This window comes from Homo sapiens, chromosome 12, assembly GCF_000001405.40.
Source record: "Homo sapiens chromosome 12, GRCh38.p14 Primary Assembly".
Taxonomy (NCBI): Eukaryota; Metazoa; Chordata; class Mammalia; order Primates; family Hominidae; genus Homo; species Homo sapiens.
The window spans coordinates 98,390,053-98,414,122 of NC_000012.12; the positions used below are offsets into that span (position 1 = coordinate 98,390,053).

General features: G+C 43.5%; 4 annotated features.

Moving 5' to 3' along the window:
* Positions 8,800 to 9,999: an enhancer, noted in NCBI's record as "P300/CBP strongly-dependent group 1 enhancer chr12:98792630-98793829 (GRCh37/hg19 assembly coordinates)". NCBI's record gives its function as "activates an origin of replication core promoter dependent on BRD2, BRD4, P300/CBP, MED14 and CDK7 cofactors, with strong dependence on P300/CBP, by STARR-seq in HCT116 cells {active_cell/tissue: HCT116}" and the evidence as "EXISTENCE:reporter gene assay evidence [ECO:0000049][PMID:35650434]".
* Positions 9,452 to 9,501: an enhancer, noted in NCBI's record as "active region_6838". NCBI's record gives its function as "activates an Ori minimal core promoter by ATAC-STARR-seq in GM12878 lymphoblastoid cells {active_cell/tissue: GM12878}" and the evidence as "EXISTENCE:reporter gene assay evidence [ECO:0000049][PMID:35858748]".
* Positions 9,712 to 9,761: an enhancer, noted in NCBI's record as "active region_6839". NCBI's record gives its function as "activates an Ori minimal core promoter by ATAC-STARR-seq in GM12878 lymphoblastoid cells {active_cell/tissue: GM12878}" and the evidence as "EXISTENCE:reporter gene assay evidence [ECO:0000049][PMID:35858748]".
* Positions 11,497 to 11,556: a silencer, noted in NCBI's record as "silent region_4750". NCBI's record gives its function as "represses an Ori minimal core promoter by ATAC-STARR-seq in GM12878 lymphoblastoid cells {active_cell/tissue: GM12878}" and the evidence as "EXISTENCE:reporter gene assay evidence [ECO:0000049][PMID:35858748]".

Here is a 24,070-nt window from a genome sequence, read left to right on the forward strand (position 1 = left end):
GCCAGATGCAGTGGCTCACGCCTGTAATCCCAGCACTTTGGGAGGCCAAGGCAGGAGAATCATTTGAGCCCAAGGGTTGAGACCAGCCTAGGCAACATGGTGAAACCCCCTCTCTACAAAAAATACAAAAATTAGCTGGGCATGGGGGTGTGCACCTGTAGTCCCAGCTACTCAGGAGGCTGAGGTGGGATGATCACTTGAGCCTGGGAGGTTGAGGCTGCAATGAGCTATAACTGTGCCACTGTACTCCAGCCTGAGTGGCAGAGCAAGACCACATTTCTAAAAAAATAAAATAATAAAATAAAAGTGGACTGAGCATAAAGGGAAAGGAAAAAGTACTGTGGGCACTTGTAGCAGGCTTTGTATTCTCTGTGCCTTGCACAGTTCACAATAGGCCCCAAATTATTGCTTGTTGAAGCCATCAATCTCTTTACAAATGAATAAATAAGAGGCTCTAAGGGGCCAGGTACAGTGGCTCACACCTGTAATCCCAGCACTTTGGGAGGCCCAGGCGGGTGGATCACGAGGTCAGGAGTTCAAGACCAGCCTGGCCAACATGGTGAAACCCCATCTCTACTAAAGATACAAAAAATTAGCCGGGCGTGGTGGCATGCTCCTGTAATCCCAGCTACTTGGGAGGCTGAGGCAGGAGAATCACTTGAACCTGGGAGGCGGAGGTTGCAGTGAATCGAGATCACGCCATTGCACTCCAGCCTGGGCGACAGGGCGAGGCTCCATCTCAAAAAAAAAAAAAAAAAAAAAAAAAAAAGCCTATAAGGGTAAAATTCTGAGTTCTAGAAGAGTCCATGGGAGAAATGGGACTTTTAGGCCACCACACTGGCTACTGTCAATTCCTGAAATGCACAATACTTCTCTTACCCAAGAGACTTTATACATGCCACTCCTGCTGAATGACACTACCTCTCCTCCTATAGGCCTAGTTAACATCTACTCAGACCTCAGCCCAAAGGCCAGGACTGCATGGAAAACTTCTCTGACCTCCCCGTCCCCATCCACAGAGCAGGTCCAGGGCCCAGGTGCAAAGTCCCAGCCAGACACTGAGGTGAGAGTTCCCACAGACTCTACCACCCTAACACCCTGCTACCACTGCCCCAGTGTACTGCCTGCATGGCCCACACCACACAACTTATGCTGATTTACATGACTGTTTGATGTAACATCTTTCCTCCATCTGAACTCTAGGCTCCATGAAGGTTTGGCGATGTCTGTTTTGCACCACTGTGCCCGTTTTGTACCACTGTGCCCGTTTTGTAGGCCCTCAATAAATCATCATTAACTGCATAGATAACTTGTTTGCTACATTCGATCTTGAAAAACGGAAAGCACCTAAACAAACACAGAAGAAAAGGAGCAAGCAGGGAAGGTGGAAAGAGTACAGAGTTCGTTCCCTGGGTCTGTGCACGGTGCACACAAAGTGTTTCACTAACTGTCTGGCTGGGGCTCAGATGCAGCAGAGCACACAGTGATGAGGCTGGTGCTTCCTGGTTGCCAGCTGTTAACCCTTGTTTAGTTGCTGGGTTGCGGACAGATGGATGAGTCCCAGGCAAAAGCACACCTTGGTTTGGGGGGTGACAGTGCTCCTGGGACAGCAGCTATCTACCAATGGTTTAGCAATCTAAAGACTCTATGAGAGGGTAACAGCCGATGAGAGCAATCTTGAGAAAAAATCTGCACCCCAGGGGACTATACCCATGCAGCCAGAAAGGAAGATAAGCTAAATTATGAGCAGACTTAAAACTCAGGCATAGGCTTTTGAGCTCGAGTGCAACAGGCAACATAGGAAGTCACTCTAGATCCCTAAGAATGCGGAAAATGATGAAAGGCATATTTTTAGAAGGACTGATTTCAAAGTTCAAGCCAGATAATGTGCTGGGCACCGGAGAACTAAAGGTGATACACAGATTTAGGCTTTTCCAAAATTAAGTTTCCCATTTTATAAAGCTTCTGGGAGATTCTGAATTTCCCGAGTTCAAGTCTCCACGCTCAGCTGCTAAGAAGATGGTTTGGTTGGTTTCCTCTTCTGGTTTGTAAGCTCCCTAAAAGCAACTCCTCACATCCTGAATGATGAAGACAGTGTCTAGCCCTTAGTAAATGTCTGTTGCATAGATGAATGAATGAATTGTTCTATTAAAACACAAACATAAAAAGCAGCCCCTAACTCTGTGCTGTAATGCAAATCCTCCCTCGTCTCCAATTATTTCTTTTTTTTCTTTTCTTTTGTTTTTTTTTAGGCAAAGTCTTGCTCTGCCACCAAGGCTGGAGTGCAGTGGTGTAATCTTGGCTCACTGCAACCTCTGCCTCCCGGGTTCAAGCAATTCTCCTGCCTCACCCTCCCAAGTAGCTGGGATTACAGGCACGCACCACCATGCCCAGCTAATTTTTGTATTTTTAGTAGAGATGGGGTTTCACCATGTTGGCCAGGCTGATCTCGAACTCCTGACCTCAGGTGAGCAGCCCACATTGGCCTCCCAAAGTGCTGGGATTGCATGCATGAGCCACCATGCCCAGCCCTCCCTAATGATTTCTTAAACAAGTTTCCCTAACGAAGACTTGTCTTTTATCAATGTTGCCAGGACCCAAGGCAGCCTAAGCCTTCCCCTCCCTCGACTGCAATTTAATACACCTCCTTCCTGAAGTGAGACCAGTCCCTCTCTGAATTCAACACAGTCCTCCTCCTTGGCAAACACTAACTTGGTAAGTTGTATTTCATGAAGTTAACCAGGCTCATTACAGAGAACATATTTCCTGGAGAAAGGATGTTAATTTCTTCCACATACAAAGAACAAAAATCAATATCATAAATCCAGGAAATCTCCCCTAAATGTCTCCCCCATCATCACTCTCTCCTGCGCTCTGTGTAAATACATTATGACAGGTTAGCTATATTTCTACTCAGGCAATATGATATTGAGGTGACTGCAAGACAAGTCACTCTGCCAAAGGGAGGAGTATTGGCCAAGATGTTATTCCTCAAGGAATTTTGTGACATTGGAATTCCATCAAATGGAGCTGAATGTACCTTCATCTTTTAAACTAGCCCCAGTTCTGATCCTCAGCCTGCTTAGAACACACTGAACTTGAAGGGCGACCTATAGATTTTCATCGTGAGTTAGAGGTGGAAAAAAAGGAAGCAGTTTTCTATGGCATGTTTGGATCTCAATATATGCATTTATTGGAATATGTAATAAACACAAACTACACGCACTGTGTGAGTGGTACATTAAAAGGAGGGACGCAGGCACCAATTTTGCAGGAACTGACAGTTTAAGTAAGCAAATAGAGTTGAAACTAAGACTTAGTTTTAATTTTAAAACACACACATCAGAGCCTAGTAAATTCCTATGCAGAAACGTGAAATCTCCAAGTAATGTTTTTTCTGCCACCTTTTGAGAGCCCCTTAACCTCATGCAGCCCCAGAGGGAAGAACACAGCTTCATTTTAGGAGTAAACAAGAATCTAATTTTAGAAATCCTCCAAGATGTTGACCTTTGTATTGCGATCTGTCAGTCTAAGACCCTGGGTCTTGGATGGGTTATTATAAATTAAAATCTAATATGCCTTCCTTCTCTCTGGATCTATAATGCCTCATTCCATCAGCAACGTCCAGCTTAGGTGTGCAGTACAGCCCCATGAGGTAGACTGCAAAACCTGGTGACTTCAGCATCCCAAGGGCATAGACAAAATTAATTAAGGTGCTGCCACAAATATTAGCCCTCCTTGAATCCTCCCTCCCAAGTTTATTTCTAATTATCTCCCATTGAGTCAGGTCTCCAATGAGTCAAAATTTTTATTAGATTCTAGAAGCCTATCTCCTAACAGCTTCAAAGGATTTTTATATTTTAGCATAGTTGATTCCCTCTAATATGCTTCCATCTCTTAACTAATCTCTGTCTTGAATCATATTATAAAACCGTAGAGTAGAAAGAGTCATTTGAGGTCACCTAGCCCAATTCCATCTGATTACAGACAAGGAAACTGAGGCCTAAGGAAGTTTGGTATCTTAAAGAATATGAATAAATCAACAAGGCAGAAACTTGATGCTACAGAGATCCACTGTTGGGTAGTATCAAGACCAAATTGGAAATGGTCTAGAGTAAAGGCCTACATACTTTGACATTTTGGAGTATTTCATCAGAAGGTTAGCCTACGCCCCAAACATAAGGCCCTCCTGTCAACAAACCCAATCCACACACTGAGAGCCTCCAACTGACATTTGGTGCCTGCTTCATGAATGTGGACAGACCAATGTCTCTAGGTTCCTTTTGTTTTGCTTTGTTTTTAGTATGCTTTCCTTTCTCTTAGGACAGGAAAACATACTAAAAACAAAAGGAACCTAGAGACAATAGAAAATTCAAGAAACAAGAAAATCTCAAAAAACATAAATCCCCAAGGCAATATTTCATACATAAAATATGATGCTGCAAAAGGGAATCTATTAAAGAACAAAAATGAGCTCTTAGTAAGACCATGAAAGCAAATAAACAACTCGAGTTTGGACAATCAAGCCAAAAAAATCTCACAAAAAGTAAAACAAAGAGATAAAGAGAGGAGAACTTGGCCAAAAAATGATGAGTGCTAAGGGGTTCATCCAGGAAGTCTACCATGCAACCAACAGGAGTTCCAGGCATTTGACACAAACAAAAATGGAGGGAAGGGAACTATTCGAGGCATAAAACAAGCACATTACCCAGGACTGTAGGTAGAAGTCTCTGCTGAGAGAGCTCTATGCGGGCTCAACACCACAGTACAGCCCTGTGGATTCCGGAAGACCAGAGATAAAGAGAATTGGAGAGCTTTTGAGAATAGAAGTAGGGTTTTCATCAAAGGATCTGGACTCTGGATGACTGTGGACTTCCAGACTTTGGAAATAAGAAAATAATGGAGCAATGACTCCAAAATTCAGAGAGAAGATTACTTGGGCCGGGCGAAGTGGCTCACACCTGTAATCCCAGCACTTTGGGAGGCCAAGGCAGGTGGATCACATGAGGCCAGGAGTTTGAGACCAGTCTGGCCAATATGGCAAAACCCTGTCTCTACTAAAAATACAAAAATTAGGCTGGACGTGGTGGTATGTGCCTGTAATCCCAGCTACTTGGGTGGCTGAGCCAGGAGAATGGCTTGAATGGGGATGTGGAGGTTGCAATGAGCCAAGATCATGCCACTGCACTCCAGCCTGGGGGACAGAGCGAGACTCCATCTCAAAAAAAAAAAAAAAAAGTGCAAAAATTAGCCAGGCATGATGGCACATGTCTGTAGTCCCAGCTACTTGGGAGGCTGAGGCAGGAGAATCACTTGAACCCAGGAGGCAGAGGTTGCAGTGAGCCAAGATCGTGCCATTGCACTCTAGCCTGGGCAGCAGAGTGAGACTTGGTCTCAAAAAAAAAAAAAAAATTATTTGAAGCCTAGCATTCTATTCCAACCAAATGATGAGTCTAACGTGAGGATAGAATACTGACATTCTCACACAAGCAAGGTTCAGCTTGTATCTCCTATGCATTATCTCTTAGGAAGTTACTGAAGGATTAGGCTTTTGCAAAAGGAGAGAGAGAAAGCAAAAAGAGGAAGACAGGGTTTTTAGAAAAGTGACCCACCAAAGAAGAGTGGTGGAGGGAAGTCCAAGGGAGAGAGCTGTGAAGCAGGCCATGGGGGAAACAGTGGGACAGAGGACTAATTATCCGATTGTTTTTGATTTGGGGAGAGGGAGGCACAGCTGGCTGCCTACCCACAGCCATTTCCCCCTTTGTACATGCCACTGGATTTTGTTTGGGCAGCAATCTGCCCAGCTCCCATGGATGAACTGAGACTGGCCTAAACCTTACACTAAGACTTAGTTTTAATTTTAAAACACACACATCAGAGCCTAGTAAATTCCTATGCAGAAATGTGAAATCTCCAAGTAATGTTTTTTCTGCCACCTTTTGAGAGCCCCTTAACCTCATGCAGCCCCAGAGGGAAGAACACAGCTTCATTTTAGGAGTAAACAAGAATCTAATTTTAGAAATCCTCCAAGATGTTGACCTTTGTATTGGGATCTGTCAGTCTAAGACCCTGGGTCTTGGATGGGTTATTATAAATTAAAATCTAATACACCTTCCTTCTCTCTGGATCTATAATGCCTCATTCCATCAGCAACGTCCAGCTTAGGTGTGCAGTACAGCCCCATGAGGTAGATTGTTGTGGTTGCCAACAATTCATCTAATAAAGGCATGTGACCAATTCTGGCTTATGAGATATAGGGCAAGACTTCAAGAGGATTCTAAGAAAGAATGTGATCCCTAGTCAAAGAACAACAGAAGGCAAAGGTTCAGTTTTGGCTCCTGCCATCCTCCTTCCTGCTTCCTACTTATGTAGAATAAGAACATGCTCCTTGGAAGTGCAACAGGGGTCTTGGGACCACCAGAAGAGATCTGGCCAACATATTGAGGATGGTGAAAAAAAAAAGACAGGGACAGCCGGGTCTACATCCACCTCTAAATCTACCCCGGAACCACCTACAGCCATGATTCTTATTTTATGAGATGATTCTATGTCTTTGTTTTTTGTTGTTGTTGTTTGGGGGCTTTGGGGGGTTTATTTGTTTTGTTTCTGTTTATGGTTTTGAGACGGAATGTTGCTCTGTGGCCCAGCCTGAAATGCAGTGGCGCAATATCAGCTCACTGCAACCCCCGCCTCCCAGGTTCAAGCGATTCTCCCACCTCAGCCTCCCGAGTAGCTGAGATTACAGGCACGCGCCACCACACCCGGCTAATTTTTTTGTATTTTTAGTAGAAACAGGGTTTCACCATGTTGGCCAGGCTGGTCTCAAACTCCTGACCTCAGGTGATCCACCCGCCTTGGCCTCCCAAAGTTCTGGGATTACAGGCATGAGCCACCGAGCCTGGCCATCTTTGTTATTTAAGCTATTGTTAGTTGTGTGTTTTGTAACTTGAGGCCAAAAGCATCTTAGCTGGTATGAAAAATACCACGGACAGGCTTTGTTATGTGAGAACATCTGTTTAAAAAAAAAAAAAAAACTAACAATGGGTACCTTGAAATCTGAGCAGATAAAAATGAGACCATCATTTACTCCACGAGGAATGGCCAATGAACTTGTGGAAAGATGTTCAGCCTCACAGGTAAAATAGAAACACAAAATTGAAATCACATTTAGATACCATTTTATGCCCATGATACTGGAAAAAACAAATAATAAAAATCTGACCGTTCCAGAAAAACCCTCAGGCAGCAGGTAGGCAGGGAAGGGAACCTCGGGGCTGTGGCTGTCAGTGGCCCAGGAAGCCAAATTTGCAGAGTTTCCTTTTGATGCCACCTGCCGCTCGGTCTGAGGCTTCCCTCGGCTTCCTCTCCACTTTCCTCATCCCTGACTGAGCCCCAGGCAGAAGCTGCGAACTCGAACCGGCTTTGGAAACATACACATGTAACCACATTCTCACCCTTTTGAATTTAATTCCACAGTATAATTAAGCACATATACTGCACACGCACGGCTATAATACCAGCTGTCGCTTCAATTTGAAAGTGTACATTAAATAAATCCAAGTAAGAGGCAACAATCTCTGAGCCTTAGGCCTTGGGGAGGAGCCACTCGGCAGTCCCGCGGAATGAACATTCCGTGTGACACACTGCCACCCAGTGGCCACAATGGAGACTGTCAGAACCAGGAAACTGATCCGCGCTTTGGTTGTCCTTGGACCTGAAGCGCCTTGCAAATGCTCGGAAATATTCTGAACCAAATTGAGTTGAATTAAATGTAATTGTGCCGGGCGTGGTGGCTCACGCTTGTAATACCAACACTTCGGGAGGGCGAGGCGGGCGGATCATCTGAGGTCAGGAGTTCAAGACCAGCCTGGCAACATGGTGAAACCTCGTCTCTACTAAAAATACAAAAAAATTAGCCGGGTGTGATGGCGCACGCCTGTAGTCCCAGCTACTCGGGAGGCTGAGGTGGGAGACTCTCCTGAACCTGGGAGGCGGAGGTTGCAGTGAGCCGAGATCGCACCACCGCACTCCAGCCTGAGCTACAGAGCCAGACTCCATCTCAAAAAAAAAATGTAATTGAGTTGGAGTAAAGTGAAGGGAATTGAATTAGCATAAAATGAACAGGGGTATGTTGGGACAAAGACCAGGGTTTGGTGAACTGTTCCTAAACCCATGCAAGCACTGTATACTTTAGGCCAAAGGGAAGCATCCTCTCTGCATCTTGCACCAAGGAGAGAGTTTTGTCAGAAAAGATCTCAAAAAAGTCAGGTGTCCGTGTATGTTCTGGCTAAATGAAGGTCAGATATCGTCCACCAGGTCTACAGTATAAAGCCAGTTTCTAATACTTTACAAATAAATACTGAATAAACAAATACAGGCCAGGAGCGGTGGCTCATGCCTATAATCCCAGCACTTTGGGAGGCCAAGGCAGGCGGATCACCTGAGGTCAGAAGTTTGAGACCAGCCTGGGCAACATGGTGAAACCCCATCTCTACTAAAAATACAAAAATTAGTCGGGCATGGTGGTGCACGCCTGTAATCCCAGCTGCTCGAGAGGCTGAGGCAGGAGAATCGCTTGAACCCGGGAGGCAGAGTTTGCAGTGAGCCGAGATCACGCCACTGCACTCCAGCCTGAACGACACAGTGAGACTCCATCTCAAAAAGTAAATACAGAAATAAACAAACATGTGCAAACAAAATATGAACTCAAACCTTAATAAACAGGCCGAAATGAAAGGAACAACTCCTCAACTGCCACCATCAGTCTTGGGAGCCCCTTCCTTGGTGTCCAGCTGCACCTAGAACCCTCAACTCCCATTCCAGCTATTTCTGCCTTGTGTCGTGGCGGCAGGTTTAAAGACCTCTCCCCACTTTGGGTTGTGAACTCCTACATTTTCTTAGCACCATGCCCATCATATAACAGACAAGAAATGGGAGGGAGGAAGGGAGGAAGGGAGGAAGGGAGGCAGGCATCCTTACTGTAGCACTGATATATAATTTCAACAGAAACCATTTCTGTCTGTTTTGACACAGGCCTGTGGTCCCCTAAACAGAGCTTCTGCCATTTTCGTGAGGCTTTCTGGCTGTAGGGGTGATCACAGTTACAAGCTGCCCAAGTTCTTATTTGGCTTCAAAGAGATCCCCATTTTTCTTTTGCTTTTTGTTTAATTTGGTCTACTTTCTTCCTGTTTTCAGGTAGCTTCCAAACATGCTGCATGGTGTAGAGTAAATCTATAATGAGGTGGAAAAATAACACCCAAAGTTCTTGACAATTTACAAACATCTCATTTGGGATTGCTGTGAGACAGGGGCACCGCTTCACAGATGTGGAAACTGAGACCAGAGAAATTAGAGGGCTTGCCCTAAGTCACAAAGTCCACAGCAGCACAGGGACAAAACTGAGGTCTCCTCACTAGCGGAGGACACCTTCATACCTAGCAAACTTCTTGCAGGTTCAGTACAGCAGGGCCCCATCACTAGTTTTACTCGTAGACAAAGGGTTTCAGCAGAGATGTTGTTCTAAGTCCTAATCTGGGACCTATTTTGAGGCATTTCTTCTTTGTCTTTTCACAAAGTCCACCCCGCAGAAGCCAAAGGCTTGCCTTCAAAGCTGTGAGTGGCCTCCTGCCGAGGGCTCAGCTGTGGGCGTTGTCTGCTGCTCACACCGGGCCTCTCTCTGCTGAGTCATCCTTCCTTCCTTCCCACGTCCCCCCACGGCATCTACACTCAGAGCACTTCAAAGCCATTTGGGGCTTCTCAGATCTTTATGCCTTCGTGGTCCTCTAGAAAACTATTTACCAGAGATAAACTCCCGGGGAGAAATTTTGTTAAATCAGATATGAATCACAAGTAAGGATGGTTTTAAAGGAAATAAAGGCATTCTAGGGAGAAAAGAAGGGCAGGGGAGTCTTTGTTGGGAAGAGTATTTAAATTAAGATTTTCATTTACAGCACCGATGAGTCTGAAATGAAAGCAATCACCACCATGAGAACAAGCTATAGCTGCATATTAATATTTTTAAATTCCTCTTTTCTTAAAAGATTCATTACACACACACATACACACACACACACATTGTGCGTGCACGTGCGCACACAAACACACACCCTCTGCACCTACATGTCTGCCATGGAAACTCTACTCTTATTTTAGGTGAGTTGAACTCCTCTGTGAAGCTCTCCCTGTTGGCTAAAGTACCCCCTCTCCTGCCCACGTTCCTACCCCTTGCACACCCTGCTTAATCCTTGCCTATATTTTGGTTGCCTCACTAGCCTATAAGCTTCCTGAGGTCAAAAATGCTGTGAAAGAATAATCATCCCCCTTCAGCGTTCAGAGAACAATCAAGATGATTCTGGACAATTACTAAGCCAGTCACAGGCTCACAGCTCTGCCTGAACACTGCACTGGGCCTGATTTATTGGGTTGAAAACCAAATCTCTTATAAATACATCATCTTCTCAGACACATGCTTGCAGCTATTGTCTAGGGAGGGAGAATACCCATCCATGTACCCTTGGAGGACGTTACAAAGACAGGATAAAAGAGTCTTCTTTTAATGAGAGGGGTTCATCTGTCACTGGCTGAGCCTAAAGGATTTAATTTTTAACTCTTATAAAGTTCTTATCCCCTGTTACCCCAGAGTGTCAGTTTTTAGATTATGAATTTACAAGCTCCTTGAGGGCAGGGAGAGACTCTTCTTTAAACACCTAACAGTGTAGCTGGGCATAGTCACTCATGCCTGTAGTCCCAGCTACTTGGAAGGCTGAGGCAGGAGAATCGCTTGAACCCAGGAGGCAGAGGCTGCAATGAGCCAAGATCGCACCACTGCACTCCAGCCTGGGCGACAGAGCAAGAACCTGTCTCAAAAAAATAAATAAATAAACTAACAGCAGTTCTTACTCTGTTTCAAGACATAGGGTCTGCTGAGGTTTTAGAGAGCCCCATAAGTCACTCCCTGTCTTCCCCTTCTGAATTCCAAATCAAGTAATAAGTAAGGTACAGGAGTCCTGGTGATAAAATTATAATAGCTATTATTAATAACATTATGTTCTAGGAACCATGAGTACTTAGATATGTTAAGTCATTTAATAGTGTTACCCAAGCTTTACAGGATAGGAAACTGAGGCACATGAAGTTGAATCATTTGCCCAAGGTCGTACACCTAGAAGGTGGCAGAACTGGGATTTGTACCCAGTAGTGGCCCACACTTATAACCACCATGCAATGCTGCCTCTCAAACACCCACCATGCCAATGGAGCTAGGGGGAGAGCAAACCTTGGTTCTATAGTCAAAGGGGCTTCCTAAAGCATCCCTTGTAAATTGAAATTTACTCCTCCAAAACGTCAGGCCTCCCCTCGCAAGGGCAGAGCCTTCCCCTTATTGGAGAGCAGATGACAATATGCCCTCTCAGGCAGAACTGGCCGCACAATTTTCAAGGACCAGTGCCAAATGAAGACGTGGGGCCCCTTGTCCAAAAGTTGTTAATAATTTCAAAAGGGCAACAGCAGGGCATTAAACCAAGCATGAGGCCCTTCTGAACACAGTGCCCTGTGCAGCCACACAGATCACACACCCATGCAGCTGGAGAGGAGCCAAGCAGGCACTTAGAAGCAAGACCCCTTGACCCAAGCACTCTCACTTCCTTCCCTAACCAGAGAAATGGCCCCCCGGGAGGAGTGAGCCAGGTGGCCGAGGGAATGTTCCCATGCTGTATGCTTCTGGGGAGTAAAATAAAAATTCCTTCTCCTCAACAGTAAATAAAGAATGGGGAAGAAAAAAAGAAAACAGAAAAAAAAAAAAGAATGGGGAAGAAACGATCCACCATACAGGGACCTATTTTGAGAAGATGGTGAAAATTGTACATATGCACACTACATTTTGCACACAATTTCATGGGTTTCACAAATCCCTTGAGTATATCTCTGCAAATCCTTCTATGCTTAAATGCCTTAAGCATAGAGGGGATGAGATGGCAATACACATACATACACATATATGTATTATATATACACAAATATATATATGCATATGCACATGTAATACACACACAAACACACACACACACACACATATATATATATACACACACACACACAAGAGATCCCTCAAGGTCCCTTCTGGCTCTCGGATTCTTTGGCTCTGACCATCACAACTTAATCACCAGCTGATCTTCCTGAAACTTTAATCCCAGCAGAGTTCTATCTAGCTCAGAATGAGTCAGCTCATTTGCTTCAACAGGTAAAGGTCAAACTGCATCCATTATTTGTGCACAGGCATTTCCAGTCTCTGTCACCCATGGCTGTCAATCCAAAGGCTGGATTTACACTCAGTGTGGTCTGGGTTCTCATTAACCTTGAATCGCCTCCTCCTCCACAGAGCTGTGACATTTAAAATCTTATCAGAGTACTCTAAAACAACCATCAGACTGAGCCTTCGGGGGATAAAATAAATGATCCATAAGCCCAGGATGAGAAAGAAATAAAAACAGACCTTAAAGAAGTAAGGTCTCCATCAAACGCATCACTCACAACACATCATTTTGTGTTGGTCTCTGTTTGTGGTCTACCTGGAATTGAATGATATTCATCTAATTTAGCCCTTCAGATGTAATTTTAGTTCTGAATGCCACCTTGAAAACAGTGACTAACCAAAATTTCCAAGAAGGGGGATTGTCATTTTTAATGGGTTTCAAAAAAAAATGTTATACAAGTTTCAAAGACTGAGGTCTTATTTTTTTAATGATGATTCATGTAGGCCATCTCAAAAATGGATTGATTTCCCAATATTTTTATACCACATCAAATATATCTCTGTGCCCAGCCAGGCTGATGGGCAATGTGCATCATTTATACACATTTCACTGGTTGAAAATTTATGGATAACCTATTACACGTCAGATGATGTGACAGGAACTAGGAATGGAAAGATAAATACAAACTGGGTTCTGTCTTACAGGGCTGCCCCGTGCAGTGAAGGGGACAGCCATAGGGGATGAAATGCAGTGATAGCAGCGTGTACACAGTACATGCTCTCAAAGCCTAGAAGAGGCACTGATAGAATTTGGGAAGGGACATTTTGATGGGGAGAATGTTCTAGGCCGAGGAAAGAGGATGAGCAGAAACACAGTGGTATAGATGTGAATGCCAGTTCAGGGAACCTTAAATGCACTCTGGTATCGTGTTGGACAGATGGGTCTTGATTCCACCATTTTGTAACCTCATGACCTTGAGTTGATCAAGTCAAGTCGATCACTTGACTTTTCTGACCCTCAGTTTCCTTGTCTGTAAACTGGAGTCATTACCACTAGTCACTGAATTGCTATGGGGTTCTAATGAAAATGTATAGAAAAGTGACTCGCAAGCCTGATGTACTATTCAAATGTCAATCATGCTTGTCTTTTATTTTAAACCTACCATGTCTTGTTGCTCTTCAACATGAAAGTGTGGACTCTCAGAAGGGATTTCATGGACTGCCTGGTCCAAGTCACTCATTAATAACAAAACCAAAGCCCCAAGAGGTGGTTGTCAGTGTCACCATTATCAATAGCAACAGCACCAGCATGACATCATGATTGTGATAGACACCAGTTTTGAGTCCTTGCTGCCTCCCAGGCTTTTTGCTTTCATCTCATTTACAACTCCTTGTGACCAATAATTATCTCCATTTTATAAAGGAAGAAACTGAAGCTTGGGGAGGTTAAATAGCATGTCCAGCAACTCAAAGCTAGTAAATGGCAAATTCAGAATTTGAACCCAGGTCGGACCCCTTGACCCAAGCCCTTAATATTCTGTTATAATGCCTCTTTCTGCTTTTCCTTTACCTCCGTTCTCCTCTCTCTCTCTCTCTCTCTTACTTTCTTCCTTGACATGAAAGTAGGCCACTTCTAAATACCCATCATTTCCAAGGACAAACTTTTCTGGAAGGAAGTGAGAGGAAGAAACTGGTAGAGAGGCCCCCAGCTGCAAATATCTGAGCCCCACGTCACCTGTCAACAGAAGAACACCACAGGACACAGGCGAAGTGCTGGCCTCTCCCCAGCACAGGAAGCAGGAACTACACAGTGGGGACTCAGAGCGGATGGCAGACAGAGTTGCCTGTGCAGTAACTTTCCCTAACCCATTAGCCTTAACATATTGTCTCATCCACAGGGAGGAGGCAGGAAAAGGAGGCTCGGCAGCAGTGCTCGCTTTCCTGCTATTTTTAACCCACTCAGCTGGTCCTCCCCTTTCAACAGGCTCTGTTCCTTCTAGGTTATTCACTTCCTCCTAAGGGATATTGTTTGTTTGTTTGTCCTACTACTTTTTGACTTGTGGAGTGAACTTATTGCTTCCTCTCCTTATTTTAATACATTATAACAGACATTTATTGGGATATTGGGAGAATATTTAAACACCTTTCCTTCTGTGGTTTTCTTTGGACGGCAAGGGGACATGTGATTGTCACTTCGTTAAAAGCCTTGTGTTCCAGGAACCAAGTTCAGGCACCATTGCATAGTTTTGTAAATAAGAATGGGCCCCCTGGGGACACAACTCAAAGGAGAAAATAAAACTTATAATCTGAAAGGAACTCATCTGTAATGGGTTTGGATGCCAGAGTTTCAAAGGACAACCCGTACCTTGAGGAAAACAGGTGCCTGCTTCTGGGGGAGCACTGGAACCCAGTATGGGCTCTGCAGTGGGTCTGCTTCAAGTTTCTATCTTAAGAACCATTCCTAGGTTCTGGCCTCTCAACCCTAAGCCTCAGGACAGCAGTGTTCATCAGTAAGACCCAGAACCTGGCACTGAATAGCTCCCCATAGATATTCACAGAATGAATAAATGAAAACATTGAAGGTCTTAGTAAAATGGTAATTATCTCATGGAAGTGGTACATGAAGGGCAGTCATGCTCCCCAACAAGAATTTGGACTTGCCCTCTGGGAATAAAAAGGAACATCGGTATGTAAGTCATCATAAGCAAGGATAGACTCTAACCAAACTTATGACCCAAGGAGACAAGTCTTTTACATTCAACATGCCAATTCCAGTCAAATGACTGGTTCCCTGGAGTGCTGCATAGAGAAGGATTTTTGAGACTTCTTCTGAGTCTAGCAGGAAAGAGAGCTACAATTGATTAGTAATGTCTGCCATGCACACAAGGGGTGAATGATGGCAAGGATAGCATATAAGTGCATCCCTTTGTTGACACATCCAGAAAACTGTGACTCGGAAGTGGGATTGACTGACCCCAGGAGTATGGAAAAGGGGAGCCACTGAGGCAGATGCCACTGAGCCACTGCCCAAGGAGCCCTAGAGCAAGCATTTTTCTGGCAAGGAAGAGCACAAAGCAGAAACCGTGTCATTAAGCACAGTACTCACACCCTGGTACTGATTCCAAGTTTACCAAGCAATGTCTTCTGTGCCTTCCCCTGTAGCGTGCCTTTAGGGAAAGAATGTTCTGGGTCAAGACACACCTAAAGTCCAGTGGCCAGTTTGCTTGACATTAATAGTTCTTGATGGAGATTAAGAAGAGTCTTTCTGGTTTCACTGATGACTCTCTGTGGACTTGGTTCATGTGCCCATCCAAGAAAGATGAATCTGCTCTCAGGTACCCTTGGCCAGTCAGGTCTCTGAGACTACAAGGCTGCGGACTAAATCTTGGACTCCGGTAAATTCACCAAAATAAGGTCCCCCTGCCAAGTCTTTTCCTGGGCTTGCAATTGCATTCCCTTCTGCATGCCATGTTCATTTGACAACCACCATATGCTAAGAGGAGTATGGAGTGGAATTAAATTGCCAGTGTATTTTTAGAAACCTGGCTAGCAGGTCAGCTGAGTTCTGAGGTTGGGACACAGGACTAGTCACTTTAATAAGGACAGAAAGGAAGTAAAGTGTCTAAAACCTGCAGATTGGCAGGCCCAGATGGAGCCTGTAAGTTCTTCAAGGGCAGAGACTATGTCTTTGTTATGTATATATCTATTCTCAGTGCACAGCACCACTCTGAGACATGGCAAGTGCTCCATAAATATGTGTTGAGTGAATGAGTTTATTGAATGGGCAGCAGAAGTTTCCAGAAGTGTTGTGGAAGGAGCTGTTTAGGTAAGAGAATGAGCTGAAAGGGCCAACAGGAAATACTAACAATAAACCACAGGCTTTACAATGTCGCCTTGAGCTTACCCACCCAGTTTAGGAAGTTTTCACCTTCAAGCCAGCAATATCGCTGTTTATACAATAACCTTGAGCCTTTGCGTATGCTGTTCCCTCTGCTTGGAGTATTCTTGCTACCCTGGCTATGCACATGAATTTGTGCACACGTGCACGTGCATGGACATACGCGCACACACATTCATATAACTGCTTCTTTAGTTGTCACTTCTTCAGAGACATCTATTCCGATTTCTCTAAGTTCTCCTCCTCCCACTGCCTTGTATCCTCTAGCTCAATCCCTTTTATATGTTCTTCATAACATTTGTCACCATCTGTAATTATCTTAAGTGTTTTTCACTTATTTCCTGTTTGCTTCCTCCCCTAGGGCATAAGCTCCATGATTCAAGGACTGTATTCTCTTATTCACTGTTGTATTTCCAAGCGCTGAGCTCGGTATCTGGTCATAGTAGATACTCAAAAAGTATCTATTGAATAAATTATGAATGAACAGTGCTTCTACACTTATTGCCTCACTGGTACAGCACACTAGCCTTTTATGAGTTAGACTTCAGTAAAAGGAGACTGAAGACAGCACTCCAGTTATTTTAATCAGAAAAATTTTAATCCAAAAAATTCATCTTTTTTTATTTATTTATTTTTATTTTTATTTTTTTTTTTGAGATGGAGTCTCGCTCTATCACCCAGGCTGGAGTGCAGTGGTGCGATCTCGGCTCACTGCAAGCTCCGCCTCCCGGGTTCACGCCATTCTCCTGCCTCAGCCTCCTGAGCAGCTGGGACCACAGGCACCTGCCACCACGCCTGGCTAATTTTTTGTATTTTTAGTAGAGACAGGGTTTCACCGTGTTAGCCAGGATGGTCTCAATCTCCTGACCTCATGATCTGCCTGCCCCAGCCTCCCAAAGTGCTGGGATTAAAGGCGTGAGCCACCGCACCCGGCCCAAAAAAATTCATCTCTTACAAAATTGTTGGAGGGCTAGAAGAATGGGTTCTAAACTGGGCCTCCAGGAATGACCACCTAAACAACACTGTTGAACTGGCCCCCACTTTGCCAGAATCAGTTACAAGGGTCCACGGAGAGGCCACTCCTGGAACTATTGAATTCAAGGACATACCACTGAGCTTGCAAAACAAGGATCAGGAAGTCATTGGTGCTGCAGATCCCTCTCAGCACCCTCAGAACTAGGTAGTAAGCACTGGAACATTGCTGCAGGGGGAAAATGCCTCTGTGACCAGGCTCACCAGCCCAAACAGTCAAACCAGCAAAGCAACAAGAAGATGGCTTCCACCTAAAGTCCATCTTTCATATGATGAGTTATTGGAACTAGGAGAAATCTAAATCATGGTTGTAACCCTAGCTGCAAGAGAGTCTTGGAAATGCAATGCCTACCTTTCCAGTTTCTGTTGTTCTGGAAGGTGCCCTATGGAGGTTGGAAAGGATGATGATGAGTTCCGATACCAAACCACCACAAGCCCTGTGAAGTAGGCAGGGAAAACTCCATCATTGCCTGGTGGCGCAGTGGCTCACACCTGTAATCCAAGCACTTTGGGAGGCCAATATGGGAGGATTGCTTGAGCCCAGGAGTTCAAGACCAGCCTGGGCAACATACAGATACCTTATCTCTACAAAAAAAATAAAAATTTGCTGGGCATGGTAGCTCATGCCTGTAGTCCCAGTGACTCAGGAGACTGAGGTAGGAGGATCTGCTTGAGCCTGGGAAGTCAAGGCTGCAATAAGCCGTGATCACGCCACTGCACTCTAGTGTAAACAACAGAGGGAGATGCTCTCTCAAAAAAAAATGCATCATTGCCACTTTTACAGATGAAAAACCTGAGTCTTCAGAAAATTAAATAATAATCCCTATTGATTGGTTCTCAAAATTATTTGTGGAATGAGTGAGGATGAATTATTTTCCCAGAGTCAAAAAGCAAACTCCTGTTGCCCTTAAAGACCCAAGTGAAAGGGATCTCCTCTGTGATGCCTGACCTAACCACCCAAGCTAAAGTCAATGCTATTGTTTATGCATACACACCTACACACACACACCGTGACTTTGATATGTTCATCATGGTACCTACCACAATGTATTTTAAGGACCAATTTGTGTTTCTGTTTCCCTAAGCAGACAATGAAGTCCTCAAGGGCAAAGATGGCATCTTAGTCTTCTCACCAACCTGGGTATCCACTGTGTGTAGCTCATAGGAGGTCAGATTAATACTTGGTTTATTGACTTAGTAAGTGTAGTGCTCTGGGCTCTTGACATTAGGCCAGTCCTCTTTCCACCATGCCACACCGCTTCTACCCAACTTTTTCTGAAATCTACTGGCTTTGGTATTCATTTGCTCACTCATGCAAGAAATATCTATTAAGCACCCATAATGAATCAGTGTTTGACACAGGAGATGTAACAGTGAGTGAAAAGAGACAGTCTCATGGCCCATAAAGACTACAGTCTAGTGGGGGAGATGGATATGAATTAGCTGATCACACAAATAAATGTGTAACTACAGCAATGATGATGACACCATAAAAGGAGGTGCATCCTGGTCTGGGAGCGTGTAATAGGTTTGAACTGTACAAGGACATCAGAAAAGATTTGTATAAAGCAGTGATGATAGCTGACATCTAAATGATAATAGGAGTTATGCAACGCAAAGAGGTCAGAAGGTCAATTCCGTGAGAAAGGAAATGGTCATGCAGAGGCCCTGTGGTAAGAGGAAGGTGAAGAAACAGAAGAACAAGGATGGTATTTTTTCCATGAGAAAGGAAATGGTCATGCAGAGGCCCTGTAGTAGGAGGAAGGTGAAGAAACAAAAGAACGAGGATGGAATTAAGTGGGGCTGGAAAATGAGGAAAGGGTAAGACCCTGCAGAACCTATAGGTCAAATGTAGGATGTCTTTCTTTATTCACCTGGGGGAGAGGATGACATGCTTATAGGTGTGCCTTAGAAAACTTCAATGTGTGGCCAGGCATGGTGTCTCATGCTTGTAATCCCAGCACTTTGGGAGGCTGAGGCAGGCAGATCACTTGAGGTCAGGAGTTCAAAACCAGCCTGACCAAACCCTGTCTCTACCAATAATACAAAAATAAGCTGGGTGTGGTGACATGTGCCTGTAATGCCAGCTACTCAGGAGGGTGAAGGAGGAGAATCGCTTGAGACCAGGAGGCAGAAGTTGTAGTATAGATTGTACCACTGCACTCCAGCCTGGGTGACAGAACGAGACTCTGTCAAGAAAAGAAAAGAAAATTTCAATGTGGCTGGGCACAGTGGCTCATGCCTATAATCCCAGCACTTTAGGAGGCTGACACAGGAGGATCACTTGAGCCCAGGAATTCGAGACCAGCCTGGGAAACATAGGTAGACCCTATCTCTAACTACAAGAAAAAAAATTAAAATGTAATTTAAAAAACAAGAAGACTTCAATGTGAAGAATAAAGTATGGCATAGCATGCAATCATTCAGCCTCCCACAGTGCCCCACTTTGAGCCAAGCACAAAACTCTGAGCTGAGCCATCTTCAGCAGCAGCCCCCATCTTCTTGGTCTGTCTTTCCAAGATTGCATCATACGTTGAACATCATGTAAATATATGCTATGCACAAGAAAAACATGCATTTCCAAAGAATACTTTGAAGAGAAACAACTTGCTTATGTCATTCACATACAGAGGCACAGAGAGGTTTATATTGGCTTTTGGCTTTTCAGCATTTAATTTATTTTGCAGAAAGAAATTTAAAAGTCTTTGGGACTGGAGGTTTCCTTTGAACTAACATCAAACTACCAGACCTGCTAAGGAAGATTCAGCCAGGCTTTGATATGCCTCAGCACATATACAACACTGCTTCTGCTTTGGACATGCAAAGGGAGAAAAAAATAGTACTCTGCATCACGAATCCCTCCTTATTAAAAATAATTAGTAGAGATAGCGCATAAGTCACTTTTAAAGCCCCCCTTTTCTCTAATTATCCTCCTAAATACATACCAAGACCTATTCACCAAAGACTGTCCTGGATATTTTAGAAAATGTCTTTTAACTCTATCCAAAAAAAGTTTAAGCAAGAAATTCTTTTCCCTCAGGCCAACTGAAATAATAATTAAACTGACTGCTATGGTTTACATGCATCTCCCAAATTTCATTTGCTGGAAACTTAATCCTCAGATTCATATGTTGATGGAATTTGGAGGAGGGACCTTTCAAAAGTAATTAGGATTAGACATGCTCATCAGGGTAGGACCCCTGTGATGGGACTGCTGGCTTTATAAAAAGAGGAAAAGAGACCTGAGCTGGCACACTCTTGCCCTTCACCATGTGATGCCCTCTGCCATGTTATGACACAGCAAGAAGGCTTTCACCAGATGTCAGCACCATGATTTTGGACTTCCCAGCCTCCAGAACTGTGAACTAAATAAAATTTTCTTTAGCATTACCTAATCTGTGGCATTCTGTTATAGCAACAGAAAATGGACCAAGACACTGACTTTTTTCCTTGTTTTTCAATCTCACTCCTTTTCACTATTAAATTTTGGCTGCCATGTTTTAGCTGAGAATTAATCCTCCTCAAAATTAAAATTTTATTAGAAAGCACAGATAAATCCACAACCACCATCAAAGTTTCATGGGATTTTGTGTATTTTTCTGAAGATTCTGCAGAAATTTTGCACAAAACAAGAATGTGTACTTTGTGGGACACATTTTTTAAAACCTATCTAAACCCTGACTTTCTATATACTCTAACAGCAATACCAGTAAGATCATTTTACATTCATGGTCATTCTAACCTGGCTGTTCTCCTTATCAAACGTGTGACCTGGATGAGGCACCTCACCCATTTGAGATTTGGTTTGTTTGCCTTTAAAATGAAAATAATAATTAAGCTTCCATTTAAGGACAAGTTCAAAGCAAAAGGTGAATTGGGCCTATGTTTCTGAGTAATGCTGAAAATGCTCTAGTTTTCCAGAACGTTGGTACCTTGGCCATACTCTCTCCTTAGCACACCCCCACTCCTGCTCCACTTAAAAACAAGTCATGCTTTTTGTTGTTTTTTGATGCTTATTCCCCTCTGCCTGAAATTCCCCAACTTCTCTATCTCAAGCTGATCACTCCTTCACTCCCTACTCTGTTTCATGACAGCTTATCTCATCATATTATATTATATTTATTTATGTCACTAGTTCTCCTAAATAGATAGTTTGTTCCTTGAGGTGGCAAGAAGGTCTTATTCATCCCTGTATCCTTAGCCCCTAGCAAATTTCCTGGCATAAAATATGCATTGACTGAATAAATGAATGTATGACAATGCGTAAAAAGTCTAGTAGAAACATGCCAATTATGGGGAGACTAAAAATTCTAATAGTATATATCAAGGAATCACTATGTTTATTAACTATTGGTTTTGTATCCATTCAAATATCATGAGCAATTTTAATTAATGGTAGTATGTGCAAAGATGAGAACTTCTTTTAACCAGATTCATTCTATGTAAAGTCACCCTCTGCCTCTTATTCTTCACTTCTCTTATTTCCATCACAGGAATAATCACAATTTATAACAATTTCCTCTTATTGTTGCTATTTTTCTCCTCTAGAAGTTCTTGATTTTGTCTGTCTTGATCATGGCTGAGGCACAGTCCCAGTACGCTGTAGGTGTCCAAAAAATATTTGTTCAGGGCCAGGCACAGTGGCTCACACCTGTAATCCCAGCATTTTGGGAGGCAGAGGTGGGTGAATTGCTTGAGCTCAGGAGTTCGAGACCAGCCTAGGCAACACAGTGAAATTACATCTCTGAAAAAACACAAAAATTAGCTGGGTATGGTGGTGTGTGCCTGCAGTCCCAGCTAGTCAGGAAGCTGAGATGGGAGGATTGCTTGAGCCCAGGAGGCGTAGGTTGCAGTGAGCCGAGATCACACCACTGCACTCCAGCCTGGGTGATAGATCCCTACTCTATCTAAAAAAAAAAAAAAAAAAAAAAAAAAAAAATTATTCAGGAAATGAGTGAAACCACCAAGTATGGAAGCAAATCTCTTATAGAATCTCTCCATGCCATCAACTACTTGTATTAAATTCCCAAGATGATTAAGGGAAATCAGAATTTCAGCCTTTTGGGGGAACCTAAAGAGGCACAATAAATAGCACTCTCTTCTCCTTTCTGAACAAATTGAGTAGTAAAGCAATGGGGCTGTAGTTAGAGGATCAAAATTTTACCTTTAATCAAGCTGAAATCAAAAAACTTGGTAAGTGGCCCCATCATACTCAATCTCAGAATTGTATAAACTCGACCTCAAATCTCAGCAGTCTCTCTCTGTTTGAGGGTAGGGGAGCTAATTTTTTCCTTAAAAATTATGGAGTAGGAGAGCAGAGGAGAACACAGGTTTCCTGGACAGCTCATCCCAAGAACAAGGGCAGCAAGATGTGGGTCCCAAATGCACAGTTCGTGAGTCCATGCTGGCTGATCAGAGGCAGCACTTCACCTCCCACAGACAGAGGGAGGGAGGAAACCAAGAGACCAGTAAACTAATGGGGCTCCCAGTCTCTCCAGTGGAATAAAACATCAAGACTGGAGTTTCCTTTCTCCCACCCCCACCTTGCCTTGACTTCAGATACACCTATTTTCAGATGCTGTCTGTAGAGAGCCTGAATTTGGCCAAGTGCATTAAGCCCACCAGGCCAATGTTAATGATTACAGGAGAAAACATCACTCTCATGTCAACAAAATAAACAGAGGTTCAGGCAGCCTAAATAATTTAGCCTTTTTTCATCATTATTGGAATGCACAATACTATTGGCCAGTAATATAACTATGAAAAAAAATAAAAACCCTAGGAAATAATGCTTTCTATCACTTTCATTGATCTATCTTTGGTTGTGTGGCTTGCTCTAAAGCTTCCCAGCCAGCTTGCTCCCTGATTTGGCCCAAATCACTCCCAAGCCACTGAGCTTCTGGTGAAGGTAGTAGGAACCTTGCCTTGGTCAGCAGAGGCCACACAGAATAGCCCTTTCTTAAATATTCAAGATCCTCTGTCTGAAGTTGTTCTTTTCCTGGATGGTCAAAGATCCTGAGGAATTCTCTGACAGCAGTTCTCTCTGGCTGGCAAAGCAAGATAGAGGAAGACGGGAGAAGAGCAAGGAAGACACCCTTAACATTCTTCAAAAATACTTCTTCAAGATGCCATAAGGAGAGGCATTTTCCCCAGATCTTCCAGCCTACGAGGAGGGTGCAGAGCTTCTATGGAGGGGTTAAAAATAATTTTATCACTTGGATAAAACAGAGAGAAAAATCCAAATGTAAATGTTTGAAGATGTGGTCTTTTCAGGTGCCTTCCTTTTGAACTCGAAGGAGAAAACGTAAAGGGGGAGAAAGGCCCTTAAAACCACTATGTAGTTTTGCTTTTTTTTTTCTACTTTGCTTTTCCCTTGTGTAGAACAAACTCTTAGGTTACATCCCAGCCTAGAATAAATCTTCTGGGCTGAATGATAAATCAGGGATTGTAATGGAAATCACTGTTGACCTTTAAAAGGGCACTGTCTTTATATTTTCACACTGTGCTGTTTGAAATGTCGACTCAGAATCAGGAAAATAATATACCATCGATTTCTCTCCATACCTCTTATAACAGAGCTTGAAATTGACCTAGAATGCATTGGTATGTGTTTTCTCATTACGGTTGTCAACATCATCGGAAATGGTGATTAATGATTCAGTCTTGGGAACAGTGTTGTTAGACCTTGTAATTACTGTATGAATCGTGTCCAAGCAGCAACTAGCCTACCCTATTTATACCACCCCCCAGAAGTGGGTGTATTTTAACCTTCATGTGGTAAAACTTCATGGTTCTCGATTAAAAGCCTCTACTAGATGGGAATATCATTTCCTCACATTGTTGTTTATCTTGGTTACCGTCTTCCCCTTGTCCATTACTCCTTTTTTTAT